The 15,023-nt window shown below is 39.8% G+C and overlaps 1 protein-coding gene and 1 pseudogene across 5 annotated transcripts in view; both read right to left on the bottom strand.

Moving 5' to 3' along the window:
* Positions 1-15,023, bottom strand: part of BTBD8 (BTB domain containing 8) — a 104,379-nt gene that overhangs the window by 52,762 nt on the left and 36,594 nt on the right. For all 5 annotated transcript variants that reach the window (XM_047418461.1, NM_001376131.1, XM_047418464.1 and 2 more), the window contains exon 5: positions 2,186-2,275. In XM_047418461.1, the coding sequence (XP_047274417.1) occupies positions 2,186-2,275 (90 nt within the window). The remainder of the gene's footprint in view (positions 1-2,185; positions 2,276-15,023) is intronic.
* PRKAR1AP1 (protein kinase cAMP-dependent type I regulatory subunit alpha pseudogene 1) lies at positions 5,661-6,665 on the bottom strand (annotated as a pseudogene).

Below are 15,023 nucleotides of genomic sequence, written 5' to 3'. Positions count from 1 at the left end.
AAGGTGGGAGGATCACTTGAGATCAAGAGTTTGAGACTGGCCTGGGCAACACGATGAGACCTCACCTCTACTAAAAATTATAAAAACTAGCAAGGTGTGGGAGTACACATCTATAGTCCCAGCTACTTGGGAGGCTGAGGCAGGAGGATCACTTGAGGCCCTATGTTGACCTCACATAAAAAGAGAGAATTTAATTAGATCATCATTACATAATGTGTGTGGTTTTTTTTTTTTTTTTGAGACAGAGTCTCGCTCTGTCGCCCAGGCTGGAGTGCAGTGGCACGATCTCAGCTCACTGCAACCTCTGCCTCCCCAGTTCAAGCGATTCTCCTGCCTCAGCCTCCTGAGTAGCTGGGATTACAGGCACGTGCCATCATGCCCAGCTAATTTTTGTATTTTTAGTAGAGACGTGGTTTCACCATGTTGGTCAGGCTGGTCCTGAACTCCTGACCTCTGGTGATCCACTCGCCCTGGCCTCCTGAAATGCTGGGATTACAGGTGGGAGCCACCGTGCCCGCCCTACATAATGTATTTTTTAAAAGCACATATATAGAATAATAAATGAAAACAAATAAAAGGTAGATACAAGTAGTGAAAACAACTCACTTCTCTTGTTGTTACATATCTTTGCTATGTATTGCCCACGCCATGTATTTTCATGTTTTGTGTTTTGGACGTTTCTAAGCACACTTATTTCTCAGTTAGGTTGAAGAGTTTAATTTCTCTTTATACACTTAATAAAGACCATTGAACAGCCAATTTGTATATCTAGTCTCTAAATGTATATTTCTGAAGATCTCCTCTCTCAAAGAGGAAAACCTTCTTTGGAAATGTCTCCAGCATAGTCCTTCTGGCAAGGTCAGTGATTTCTACCTCTTTATTTATGAACTGCTATTAATTTGATTTTGTAATATCCCTTCCTAAAAGTGTTATATTAGTATTTAAAAACTTGAACGTAGGCCAAGCGCAGTAGCTCACGCCTGTAATCCCAACACTTTGGGATGCCAAGGCAAGGTGAATTACTTGAGGTCAGGAGTTCAAGGCCAGCCTGGCCAACATGGCAAAACCCCATTTCTACTAAAAATACAAAAATTAGCCAGGCGTGGTGGCGCATGCCTGTAATCCCAGCTACTCAGGAGGCTGAGGCAGGAAAATCACTTGAACCTGGGAGGCAGCTGGAGGTTGCAGTGAGCTGAGATCCCACCACTTGACTCCAGCCTGGGTGACCGAATGAGACTCCATCTCAAAAAACAAACAAAAAAAAGAAATTGAATGTAAATATTTGCTTTGCATATTAACAGTTTAAACAATTAAGATCCTTTTGAGATAACTGGAGATACTTTAAGTTATATAAAATATATACTGTGTGTATATATATGTGTGTGTGCGTATATGTGTGTGTGTGTGTGTGTGTGTGTGTGTAAATATATATATATATATATTTTTTTTGAGACAGGGTTTGGCTCTGTTACCCAGGCTGGAATGTAGTGGTATAATCATGGCCCACTGCAGCCTCAAACTCCTGAGCCATGATTGTGTCACTGCACTCCAGCCTGGGCAACACAGCAAGATCCCATCTCAAAAAAATAAAAATAAAAGAAAAATTTAAAAACTACCTGTTATGAACTGAAATGTCTGTGTTCCCTCCAAATTCATATGGTAAAGCCCTAACCCCCAGTGTGGTCATATTTAGAGATGGGGCCTCTGAGAAAGTAATTAAGGTTAAATGAGGTCACATGGGTCCTTGATCTGATAGGATTCGTTTCCTTATAAGAAGAAATACCATAAAACTCTCTCTCCAAGTGCACGCACCAAGGAAAGGCCACATGAGTGTACAGCAAGAAGGCGGCAGAATGCAACCCAGGGGCAGAGCCCTCATCAGACACCAAAACTGCTGGCATGTTTATCTTGAACTTCCAGTTTCCAGAACCGTGAGAAAATAAATACCTGTTGTTTAAATCACCCAGTTTGGATATTCTGTTACAGAAGCATAAGCAGATTAACACAATACCTCTATTAATAAATGCTCTCTATTACTTCCCGTTTCAGAAAATGTACTTTGTTGAATTCTACATGAGAAATATTTCCTTGAACATCCAGGGAAATCAGATTCATAAAAAGTGCTTTGTATGAAATACAATTTACAATCATTTGCAGTCAAATGGCCCTGTAAAAATATGCTTACCCTTGAAGAGTAACGTACTCTTGGGAGCTTTCAGCCCAACAGCCACTCAGCATTGCAGCAAAATAACTAGATCTGGCACTCAAAATGGCCCTAAAGGGAAGAGGGGGGAGAAACACAGGTAAACATTTACATATTATTCAAAATGTAATTTTTTATGAAAATTTTCATCTTTATGTATTAAAACACAATAATCTATTTGTTTTGTTTGTATTCATAGGCAGGATTACTACATAATAAAACTTATAAGCTTATATTTATACCTAAGGGTTTTTTTTTTGTTTTTTGTTTTAAGAGACAGGATCTTCCTCTGTCACCCTGGCTGGAATGCAGTGGCGTGATCATAGCTTACTACAGCCCTGAACTCCTAGACTCACGTATGATCCTCCCACCTCAGCCTCCCAAGAAGCTAACACTACAGGCATGCAGTATCACACTCAACTTGATTTTTAAATTTTTTGTAGAAATGGGGTCTCACTATGTTGTCCAGACTGGTCTCAAACTCTAGACCTCAAGCAATCCCCCTATTCCTGAAGTGCTGGGATTTATAACTAAGCATTTTGATTGTTTAAAACATTAATTCCAATGCCCTTGCTGTCTTTTTTTTTCTTTGAAGGTTCTTTAATTTTTTAAGCTTATAAAAACATAATTGATATTTAATTTTTTAAATATAAAAAGGTAGCTAAAGACAAAGTACTGATCAGCAAACCCTAATTTAATATGGATTATTTTGGAAATTTAAAAATTTTTAACAAGGTGGCCTTCTATCTCATACTAAAGTGTAAATCAAGGCTCTTTCCCAGATTTACACTTCATACTTAGTAACAATCTAAAACCTTTTCAAATCAATGAAAAAAAAACCAAAAAACAAAAAACCTACCATGACCAATTTAAACGACCTGGGAAAGGGTAGGAGAGGTGACCAATAATCAGAGCCAGTTGCACGCAGATGGAAAAATGCTTGCTGTCACTCCCAAATATATCCCTACATTACATGTAAATCATAATGGAAATAAATGCCTACATTACAGAACTATGAAATTCTATTTAAAAAATAATAGGCCAGGCACGGTGACTCACGCCTGTCATCTCAGCACTTTGGGAGGCCGAGGCGGGTGGATCACCTGAGGTCGGGAGTTCAAGACCAGCCTGGCCAATATGATGAAACCCTGTCTGTGCTAAAAAAAAAAATACAAAAAAATGGCCGGGCGCGGTGGCTCACGCCTGTAATCCCAGCACTTTGGGAGGCTAAGGCAGGCAGATCACGAGGTCAGGAGATCGAGACCATCCTGGCTAACATGGTGAAACCCTGTCTCTACCAAAAACACAAAAAATTAGCCGGGCGTGGTGACAGGCGCCTGTTGTCCCAGCTACTCGGGAGACTAAGTCAAGAGAATGGCGTGAACCCAGGAGGCGGAGCTTGCAGTGAGCCGAGATTGCACCACTGCACTCCAGCCTGGGCGACAGAGCAAGACTGTGTCTCAAAAAAAAAAAAATTATTCAGGTGTGGTGGCGGGTGCCTGTAATCCCAACTACTCGGGAGGCTGAGGCAGGAGAATGGCTTGAACCCAGGAGGTGGAGGTTGCAGTGAGCCGAGATCGCACCACCGCACTCCAGCCTGGGCAACAAGAGCGAAACTCCGCCTCAAAAAAAAAATAAAAATAAACTGTTGGGTATCATTGGAATAATGTAACTCGTAAGGCTAGAAAATATTGAAATACAGTTCAGACTCAAAACATAAGTTCACTTTTTAAAAAGTTTGCTAGAGAAATAAATGCCAGATAGGAAAGTAGGACTTGTAGCAGGATGGCCTTTTATACCAATTTGAAAAACACAGACACACCATACCCTACCCACAACCCACCAGAAATTCTAGTTGAAATAAAAAGGAAGGAACAAAGGCTAAAGTAAAAAGCTTCGGTCGGGCACGGTGGCTCACACCTGTAATCCCAACACTTTGGGAGGCCATGGCGGGCGGATCACTTGAAGTCAGCAGTTCATGACTAGCCTGGCCAACATGGTAAAAGCCCACCTCTACTAAAAATACAAAAATTAGCTGGGCGTGGTGGCTGTGCCTGTAGTCCCTGCTACTCGGGAGAGTCACTTGAACCCAGGAGGCCGAGGTTGCAGTGAGCAGAGATCACACCACTGCACTCCAGCCTGGGTGACAGAGCAAGACTCTGTCTCAAAACAAACAAACAAACAAACAAACAAACAAACAAACAAAAACTTCCAAAATCTCATGTCCCAGTGAATTTAGTGGGGAAAAACTCCAGACACTGAACTTTGTCAGCTTGACACTTCTCCCTTTAGCAATATCACCTCCATTTCTGTTATGACTTTCGTTCCAACTGAATCTAGTTGTAGCAAATTCAATCTCCTGGAATCAGCTTGATAAGCATAGGAGATCATACTAGAGTCAACTGAAGGAGGTACATTAACCAAAAGCTCTAAATTAACAACCAGGAGTGTAGACCTCGAATTCTGATCCTCAATTCAGCATATGATCAATATTTGGCACTAGCTGGATAAAGGTCTAATCAGAATTTGTGAGCAGAGGCAGATGTAGTTAAATCATAACCAATATTCGCAGTCTATGATTTGGTTCCAAACTTAAAAGGCAGGTATAGATAGCCACATCTAAAAATATTTCAGAACTGGAGGGAAAACGTTAATAACAAGATATAAACAAAACCAGGCAAATTAGCTTGGCAAACAAAAATTCTGGTTAAAAAAAGAAACTAAACTTATCATACCCACTGATAATTTAAGAGTGGAAAAATGAGCATTTTTCCACTGTTAAACTAGTTTAATTACAGGCAGATGTTTTTCTACTATATTAAGATTTTTCTGTATCCATTTTTCCTAATCCTTAAAGCTTAATGAGAAATCATTTATTCTGTAAAGAAATACAGCATATATAGCCACAGTCTAAATATGCTTAAAACCGGAAAGTTATGTCAGTTAAAAAAAAATCTTACACTGTTACATCATTACTCTATGGTAATTCAACTGATGCTGGGATCTGCCTTCACCCAAAAGCATGGCACTCACTGCTCAGAGGTTGAATGCTAACATTGCCCAAAATGAAGCAGTAACAGCAAAGACTCCATAAAACTCTATTTAATTGTGTACAAGCATTTAATTACTGCTCCAAATTAAAAACCGTACAATAAGTGCAACTTTTAATATATAAACAGACAAGAAGCTGTGATGCCAGTGTCCATTTGGCACTGCAAATAGCGAAAATAAAGCGGTCTGCATGAGTGAAGAGGATTGAGGAGAGGAGAAAAGGGAGGCCCAAGAGGCAGATTTCAGACAGTGACACAAAACTGTTGTACTGCTGGATGTTTCGTTTGAGGAGGTCTGAGCCTGGGCAAGAGCACATTCAAATCTAGGCTGGTCCAGCTTAATGTACTTCAAGGGGCCATGTACAACCACTGTGGCAGCAGGAGGGTGATTCATCAGGAATGCAAATTCACCAAAATAATCAGAAGGCCCCAATCTTCCCACTTCAACAAACTCTTCATTTTCTTATCAACGTTGCAGCATAGCAGCTGGCCCCTCTAGAATAATAAGGAACTCATCCCCTGGTTCTCCCTGCACCACAATCTTCTGCCAATCTTCAAACTTGACTGGTTCCCATGTATCAGCTACCGTAAGATGCTTTCACTTATCCAGAGACTCTAAAATAGACACTTTACTAAGGAATTCCTCATACATCTTCCACATTCTCAGTGTGCTTCCCATATGGATTCTTCTACAGCTGCCTCGGTTGATACACTACCATTTCACATTTGCCTTTGCTTTGACAGTGGCTACTCTAGGTGTTCCATAAATCAAAACAAATTCTCCAAAGCTCCCTCCTTCTTCAACACTGGTTGCTCATTCATCATTGACACAGACATCCCTCTCTCCTTGCTCAATCACCTAGAAGTTATCCCCTTCATCACCTTGCAGAATCACTGTCTCTCTCCAGTGATAAAGGAGACATGGAAATATGGCATCAAATATATCACTTCTCTCATTATCATCAAGATGTGAAATCAGCACATTCTTTTCAATGGCTTTGGCTAAAGACATTGCCTTATAATGGCTTTTGGTATAATCTTATAATCTTTTGGTATAATCTTTCTAACATATGATGTGGCATCTTCCTCCATGTAGACTTCAGTGCTGACGGTACCTTGTCACCTCTGATCTTTAACCACTGGGTTGGGTGGAGGAGGAGAGATTTCATTCTCCTGAATTCTGTACAAGTGCCTGCTTCCTGCAGATTGTGAATTTGTTTTGCCTCCTCCTTCTCCAGCCTCTCAAAGTGTTCCCTGAGGAATGCCATTAGTCCCTCGGGTTGAGCAGTACATAACTGCACAATAGAATCTTTGAGCAGTGCCTGAATGTTGTGCTTCTGGAGGTAGAGCTCACATTCTCAAAGGCTATGCTCCTCCTCTCTGGCAGCAGTGTCACCAGACGCCATGGTTCTGTCTCTCTCTGAGTGTCTCAGGTCCCCTCTATTCTTTCTTCTGCTCTTCACTCCCTCTCCACGTGGCTTTCATGAGCTTCCCTCTTCTCTCCTCTGCTCCTCTGTCCACCCTACTCTGCCTCCAACCTCCCTCAATGCCTCTCAAAGGCTCTTTAATTAACAACAATGGAAACTATGTCCATGAGTAAGAGGAATAAATCATTTACAAATGGAGAAACAAAGACCAAAGATGTTACTTTAAATCTTAAGGAAATATCAATAAGAGACTATAATTACTGTTTGTCAATTAAACATTTTTAAATAAAAAATACATTCCACAATATCTTAGAAAATAAAAATAAAAATAGGGACAACTCTAAATTAAAAATATTTTTAAATTTTAAAAAAAGAGCTTACAATTCTAAAGGTCCGGAGTTCTAGTTCAAAACTCACCATAATTATGTTCAAGAAAGGATATATCTTAGGTTTGAAAAAATGACAAGAAAGATATTTTCTTTTGAATTACCATTCTATCTTCTCAAATAAAATGCTAATTAATTCATTCTTTAAAAATAAATTTAAAACATATATAGAGAGACAGAGTCTTACTATGTTGCTCTAGCTAATCTCAAACACCTGGGCTCCAGTGACCCTCCTGTCCCAGCCTCTCAAAGTGCTGAGATTACAGGTGTTAAATCACTGCGCTCACCCTCACTCTTTCTTTTTCTTTTACTACAGACAGAGTCTCTTGCTCTTTCACCCAGCCTGGAGTGCAGTAGCACAATCATAGCCCACTGCAGCCTCAAACTCCTGGCTAGCCTCATCTTTAATCCAACAGATATTCTATTCTGTGCTCCGCACTATTCTAAGTGCTGGGAGTACAGCAGTAAATGAGATACACGGAACAATATTATATTCCAATGAAGGGTGGAGGACAGGCAGAAGAGAAAGACACTTCTGGAATGGCTTCCTAGGTTGTCTCAGATCAACCCTCCTGCTGAAAGCAGCTTAGGAAAGATGGACAAAATATATATATTTAAGAAAAGAAGCAAAAAAAAGGAAAGCATGCTTTCAAGGCATCAGAACACTGCCACAGTGATTAGAAAAGTTACACAAGTTATGAGACAGAAGACAAAAGAAGCCACCCAAGTATTTGAGGTAACTTTTTCCATTGAGGCAATTGCCAAATCTGAAAGCAAAAGCAACAGCTGGAAGGCTGAGAAGCTGAGTATAGCTTCTGGCAATCTTCACACAAATTGGAACTTGGGGACCATCAAAGAGGAGGGGTTTTAGTAGATAACCCAGGATTTCAGTTGGATCCCGAACGGCCACATTCTAAACAGAAGAGTGAACAGGAAATAGACAAGCCCTTATTAGACTTGAAAGCCAGTTTTGAATTATCTCGGTTCCTGACTGGAACAAAGTGATCAGCATCTAGTCTGCCAGCCAGACAAAAGCAAAAGGAAATCCTGTCTGCATTAAAATATCACCTTGAGTGTCAAATTATTTCTACAAATTTTCTTTTTTTTTTTTTTTTTTTTGAGACGGAGTCTTGCTCTGTCGCCCAGGCTGGAGTGCAGTGGCGCGATCTTGGCTCACTGCAAGCTCCACCTCCCGGGTTCACGCCATTCACAAATTTTCAATAGAATGTTTAGTAGTCACCCAAAGATGATTTAGTGTAATAATGAACAACTAGAACATAAAAGAAAAAATTTCCATTTACACTAGTATCAAAAAAGGTCAAACACATAGCAACAAATGTAACAAAATGTGTAAGACCTCTACAGTAAAAACCATAAAACACTGCTAGGATAAATTTTAAAAGACCTAATGGAGAGTGAAAATATGCTCATGGATCTGAAACTTGAAACTGTTAATATGACCATTCTTCCTAAATTAGTTTCTAGATTTACCACAATCCCAATCAAGCATTTTTAGTAGCAATAGATAAGTTGATTCTAAAATGTCTACGAAAATGCAAAGGACCCCTAATTGCCAAAGCAACCATCAACAGAAGAATAAAGGTGGAAAACGTGATTTCAGGCAACATGATGTCACTTACTATAAAGCAGCAATAATCAAAATAATGTGGTATTGACATAAGGGTGGACATATAAATCACTGGAACAGAATTGAGAGTCCAAAAGTAGATCCACATACATATGGCCAATTGCTTTTCATGAGGGCGTTAAGATAATTCAATGGGGGAAAAGACAGTCTTATCATCAAAAGGTACTGGAACAACAGGATGTTTGTAGAAAAAAAATTAAACTTGACACTTGCCTCACACCATATACAAAAACTTAAATCTAGAATACATAGAGAACCATAATAACACAACCCAATTAAAATATGGGCAAGAACAACAAAAAATATCAGGTAAGAATCACTTGCTAGAAATAGTTTTACTTCAAAGCTAAAGTTTATGGCTAGTTATAAAAAATGACATCCCTGGCCGGGTGTGGTGGCTCACGCTTGTAATCCCAACACTTTGGGAGGCCAAGGCAGGAAGATCACTTGAGGTCAAGAGTTCAAGACCAGCCTGGCCAACATGGCAAAACCCAGTCTCTACTACAAGTACAAAAATTAGCCAGGCATGGTGGCACACGCCTGTAACCCCAGCTACTCAGGAGGCTGGGGCACAAGAATCTCTTGAACCTGAGGGGCGCAGGCTTGTAGTGAGCCGAGATCATGCCACTGCACTCCAGCCTGGGCTACAGAGTGAGACTCTGTCTAAAAAAAGAACAAAACAAACAAAAAAGACCAGGCGCGGTGGCTCACGCCTGTAATCCCAGCACTTTGGGAGGCCAAGGTGGGCAGATCACGAGGTCAAGAGATCAAGACCATCCTGGCCAACATGGTGAAATCCCGTCTCTACTAAAAATATAAAAATTAGCTGGGCGTGGTGGCACAAACCTGTAGTCCCAGCTACTCAGGAGGCTGAGGCAGGAGAATCGTTTGAACCTGGGAAGCGGAGGTTGCAGTGAGCCGAGATTGCACCACTGCACTCCAGCCTGGTGACAGAGCAAGACTCCGTCTCAAAAAAAAAAAATAATAATAATAATAGCTAAATACTGGAAACAACCAATATTCCATCAACAGGAGAATGAATAAACAAATTGTGGTATAGCTATACAATCCAATACTATGCAGCAATAAAAATTGAATCAATCACTGATACACATAACATGCAAGGATGAAGCTCAAAAACATTACACTGAACAAAAGAGGCCAGACACAACAGTATGTCTGAGTCCATTTACATGAAATTCTAGGAAAGGTAGAATATCCTACAGTGTAGAGAACACAATAATAAGAAAACAAACAACCTGATTTAAAAATAGGCAAACCAAGAGTAGTAGTGTGTGCCTGTAGTCCCAACTACTTGGGAGGCTGAGGCGGGAGGATCCCTTAAGCCCAGGAGCTCAAGACCTGCCTGGGTAACATAGCAAGACTCTGTCTCAAAAAAAAAAAAATAAAAAAATAAATGGGCAAAAGATATAAACAGAAAACTAACCAAAGAGGTATACAGATGGCAAATAAGCACATGAAAATCATTTGTTGCCTGTGGCTGGGGTAGGGATAGGTACTGAAGGTAAATGGGTACAAGGGGACTTTTTAGTTGACGAAAATTCACTATATTTTGCTTACAGTGGAAGTTAAACAGGTTTATACATTAGTCAAAATTCATAGAACTGGACTTTAAGTTGTGTGCATTTGTTTGTGTATGCATTCTAACTCAATATACTTAACTATAAAAAAAGAATGAAAACAAAATTTACTCAAGAAAGAAAGTAACAGGCCAAGATAACTTCCCTAGTGAATTCTAATAAATATTTAAGGACGACATAAGTTTTAAAAAAAATCAATCTTACTCAAACTAAAGCATAAAAAAGAGGAAATACTTCACAGTTCATTTTATAAAGTCAACATAACTTTGAGGCCTAAACCTGACAAGGACATTACAAAAAAGTAAAATTACAGGCCGATCTGTCTCATGAACATAGATGCAAAATTCCTAAACAAAATATTAGCAAACTGAATTCAGCACGAAATAGAATGAATAAAACATCACAACCAAACCGAAATTATTTCAGGAATGTAAGATTATTTTTTCATTCAAAAATTAAGCAACATAATTTAGCACATTAACAAAAGAATGGAGAAAAATCAAGTGATCATCAAAATCAATGCAGGAAAGCATTTGACAAAATTCAACACCAATTTAGGATTTTAAAAATTTAGGCAATTTTGGCCAGGCGCAGTGGCTCATACCTGTAATCCCAGCACTCTGGGGGAGGCTGAGGCGGGCAGATCACATGAGGCCAGGAGTTTGAGACCAGCCTGGCCAATGTGGCAAAACCCTGTCTCTACTAAAAATACAAAAATTAGCCATGCTTGGTGGTGCACGTCTATAATCCCAGTTACTTGGGAGGCTGAGGCATAAGAATCGCTTGAACCTGGGAGGTGCAGGTAGGAGTGAGCTGAGATCCTGCCACTAAATCTCAGAAAGCTATTTTGTAAATACTGACAAGGTGATTCCAAAATTTACAGTCATGTGCTACATAACAATGTTTGGGTCAAGAGACCACTCACATATGAAGATGGTCCCATAAGATTATAATGAAGCTGAAAAATCCTGCAACCTAGGGATGTCATAGCTGACAGAAGGTCAAGTGCAAAGCATTACTCACATGTTTGTGGAGGTGCTGGTATAAATAAACCTACTGTGCTGCCAGCTGTATAAAAGTCTAGCATATACAATTATGTACAGTACATACTTGATAATAAACAACTACGTTACTGGCTTATTATTTTATTGTACTACATTTTATATTGTTATTTTAGAGTACTCCTACTTACATATAAAAAAAAAGTTAACTGTTAAATAGCCTCAGGCAGGTCTTTCAGGAGGTATTCCAGAAGAAGGCATGTTAGGAGATAACAGCTCCATGTCCGTTACTGCCCCGAAGACCTTCCAGTGGGACATGATGTGGAGGCGGAAGGGATTGATACTGATAATCCTGGCTCTGTGTAGGCCTAGTAAGTAATGTGTTTGCTTCTGTCTCAATTTTTAACAAAAGTTTAAAAACTTAAAAATATTTTTTAACAGAAAAAAGCGTATAGGCCAGGCGCGGTGGCTCACACCTGTAATCCTAGCACTTTTGAAGGCCGAGGCGGGTGGATCACTTGAGATCAGGAGTTCAAGTTAGAGATGGTGAAACCCCATCTCCACTAAAATACAAAAAATTAGCCGGGCGTGGTGGTGCATGCCTGCAATCCCAGCTACTCGAGAGGCTGAGGCAGGCGAATTGCTTGAACCCAGGAGGTAGAGGTTGCAGCGAGCCAAGATAGCGCCATTGCACTCCAGCCTGGGCAATAGAGTGAGACTCCGTCTCAAAAAAAAAAAAAAAAAAAAAAAAAGAAAAGGGCCGGGTGCAGTGGCTCACGCCTGTAATCCCTCGGGCAGATCATGAAGTCGGGAAATCGAGATCACGGTGAAACCCCATCTCTACTAAAAATACAAAAAAAATTCGGTGACGGGCACCTGTAGTCCCAGCTACTCGGGATGCTGAGGCAGGAGAACGGCGTGAACCCGGAAGGCGGAGCTTGCAGTGAGCCGAGATCGCGCCACTGCACTCCAGCCTGGGCAACAGAGCGAGACTCCGTCTCAAAAAAAAAAAAGAAAAAAGAAAAGAAAAGAGCTTATAGAATAAGGATACAAAGTAAAAAGCCAGATGTGGCAGCTCACACCTGCAATCCTAGCACTTGGGGAGATTGAGGCAGGAGGACTGTTTGAGCCCAGGCGTGTGAAACTGGCCTGGCCAGCGCAGGAAGAACTTGTCTCTACAAAAAATACAAAAATTAGCTGGGTGTGGTGGCGTGCACCTGTGGTCCCAGCTACTCAAGAGGCTGAGGTGGGAGGATCACTGGAGCTAGAGAGGTCAAGGCTGCAGTGACCCATGATCGCGTCACTGTACTCCAGCCTGGATGACAGAGCAAGACCCTGTCTCAAAAAAAAAAAAAAAAGAAAAAAAGAAAAAAATTTGTACAGCTATACATGTTTGTGATTAAGCTAAGTGTGATTACAAAAGAGTAAAAAGTTTCAAAAAATTAAAAAGTTTATAAAATGAAAAGTTACAATAAGCCAAGGTTAATTATTGAAGATAGTTTTTTAAAATAAATTTCGTGTGTATCCTTAGTATTTATAAAGTCTACAGTAGTGTACAGTAATGAACTGAGCCTTCACATTCACCCACCACTCACTCAATGACTCACCGAAAGCAACTTCCAGTCCTGCAAGTTCTATTCACAGTAAGTGCCCCATGTAGATAGGTGTATCGTTTGTCTTTTATACCAGATATATCTTTCAGTGCCAGAAAGTAAGAAAATGCTCAACACACACACACACACAGACACACACACACTGAGGGAGTAAAAGGGACACAAGAGCCACCTGAAAGAGCTCCCACAGCTAAAGTTGTAACAAATAGAGCAAAAAAAAAAAAAAAAAGAAAGAAAGAAAAGCCAAATTATAAGCTAAAGTACAAAATAAGTATCTATGAGTCTACACTGATATATGTAAGTGATTGAATAAATTAATATGTAGAGGAGAAGAGGTAAGTTTTTTGTGCAGAAGAATTCCAAATAATTTATGTGGATAATACCCCTGGTTCAAGGAGGTAGAACATTACTTTCTATCACTTAAATATGGGCTACACACAGTGACTTCCTTCCAGAGAGCAGAGTCTGGAAATGGGAAGTGAGGAGAGGAGTAACTTATAGTGGAGAAACCAGATGAAAACAAGGTCATCATCAAGGTTAACATAAACAGTGATGTCATGTTGATCACATGTACCTTTAATATGATATAATGAAAATGGCCCTTTATCTTTGTGGTCTTCCTGTCCCAAACCCATAATCCATGAAATTGTGAGAAAAACATCAGATAAACTCCATTTAAGGGAATTTCTATAAAATACCTGACCAGTACTCCTCAAACTGGAATGTCATCAAAAAAAAAAAAAAAAAAAAGAAAGTCTGAAAAACTGTTACAGCCAAGAGGAGCCTAAGGAGACAGGACAACTAAGCATAATGTGAGATCGGGGATTGATTCCTCAAATACAAAAGGACACTAGGTAAAAACCAAGGAAATCTGAATATACTACAGACTTTAGTTAATAACAATGTATTGATATTGACTCAATTGTAACAAATGTACTATAAGATGTTAATAATGAGGAACTAGGTGTGGGGGTATACGAGAATACTGTACTCTTTTAATTTGTCCATAAATCTGGAACTGTTCTAAAAAATAAGGCCAACTAAGAAAAAATTAGGATTCTGCTTCTACCCATAAGTATAGGACTTCCCTACCTTCCATTTAATAATTAGAAAATTGAACAAAATATGACCATGGAAAAAGGCAGTACAGGACTCTGATCCACAAGAGAAGAAAAACAAATGAAGTAAGCTCTACAATCACAATGCTTTTCTTCCTAGAAGCAGTTTCTAGTCAATGCACAGGAAGGACAAACGAGCAGAGCCTTGTGGCTTAGCTGAGCTGAGGAGATGATATAGGAGACCCAAGAAGCTGAGTCAGCTGAAATTTGTGAGGTGCAGTAATATAGAAGAGGGAGTCATGAAGAACTGCAGAAATCAGAGTAGATACTCCCTCCCTTGAGCTTTGGCTGAATATAATTTGAGTGTGCATAAGGTAAAACTACACAAAGCCTGGCAAAGAATAAAAGCCAGGAAGCTATATGGCTGACAGATATTCAAGTTCCTTCCGGCCAGAACTGAATACTTGGGGCACTAAGAAAAGATCCCAGAAGCCTCAGTAGAAAGGCTTTACAACATTTAGAGCAAAGGCTATCCTAGATGCACCCTAACAAAATTTAAAAAGAAGCTTCATAAACATGAAGCTGATCCACAATAACTTAAATGCCTGCTAAAAAAAAAACCTTTAATAATCTTTTTCAAGAAAAACAATAAAGTTCAAACATTCAAAAACATAATATTTATAATGTCTGGCATTTGATTAAAAACTTATTAGGTAATGTGAAGCAGCAGCAAAATGTGAACATTAAAAGAGGGAAAAAATCAGTCAATATTATCAGACCCAGAAATGACAAGAGAAGATGGAATTAACAGACAAAGCATTTTAGGGCTGAGTATGGTAGGTCACACCTGTAATCCCAGCAATTTGGGAGGCTGAGGCAGAAGGATTCCCTTCTGCCAGGAGTTCAAGACCAGCCTGAGCAATAATGCGAGAACCCATCTCTACAAAAAATTTTTTAAATTAGCTGAGTATGATGGCAAATGCCTGCAGTCCCAGCTACTCAGGAGGCTGAGGCCAGAGGATCACTTGAGCCCAGC

Source organism: Homo sapiens, chromosome 1 (genome assembly GCF_000001405.40).
Source record: "Homo sapiens chromosome 1, GRCh38.p14 Primary Assembly".
NCBI lineage: Eukaryota > Metazoa > Chordata > Mammalia > Primates > Hominidae > Homo > Homo sapiens.
Note: the sequence above shows the minus strand (reverse complement) of the source record. Positions and strands in the feature narration are given on the sequence as shown.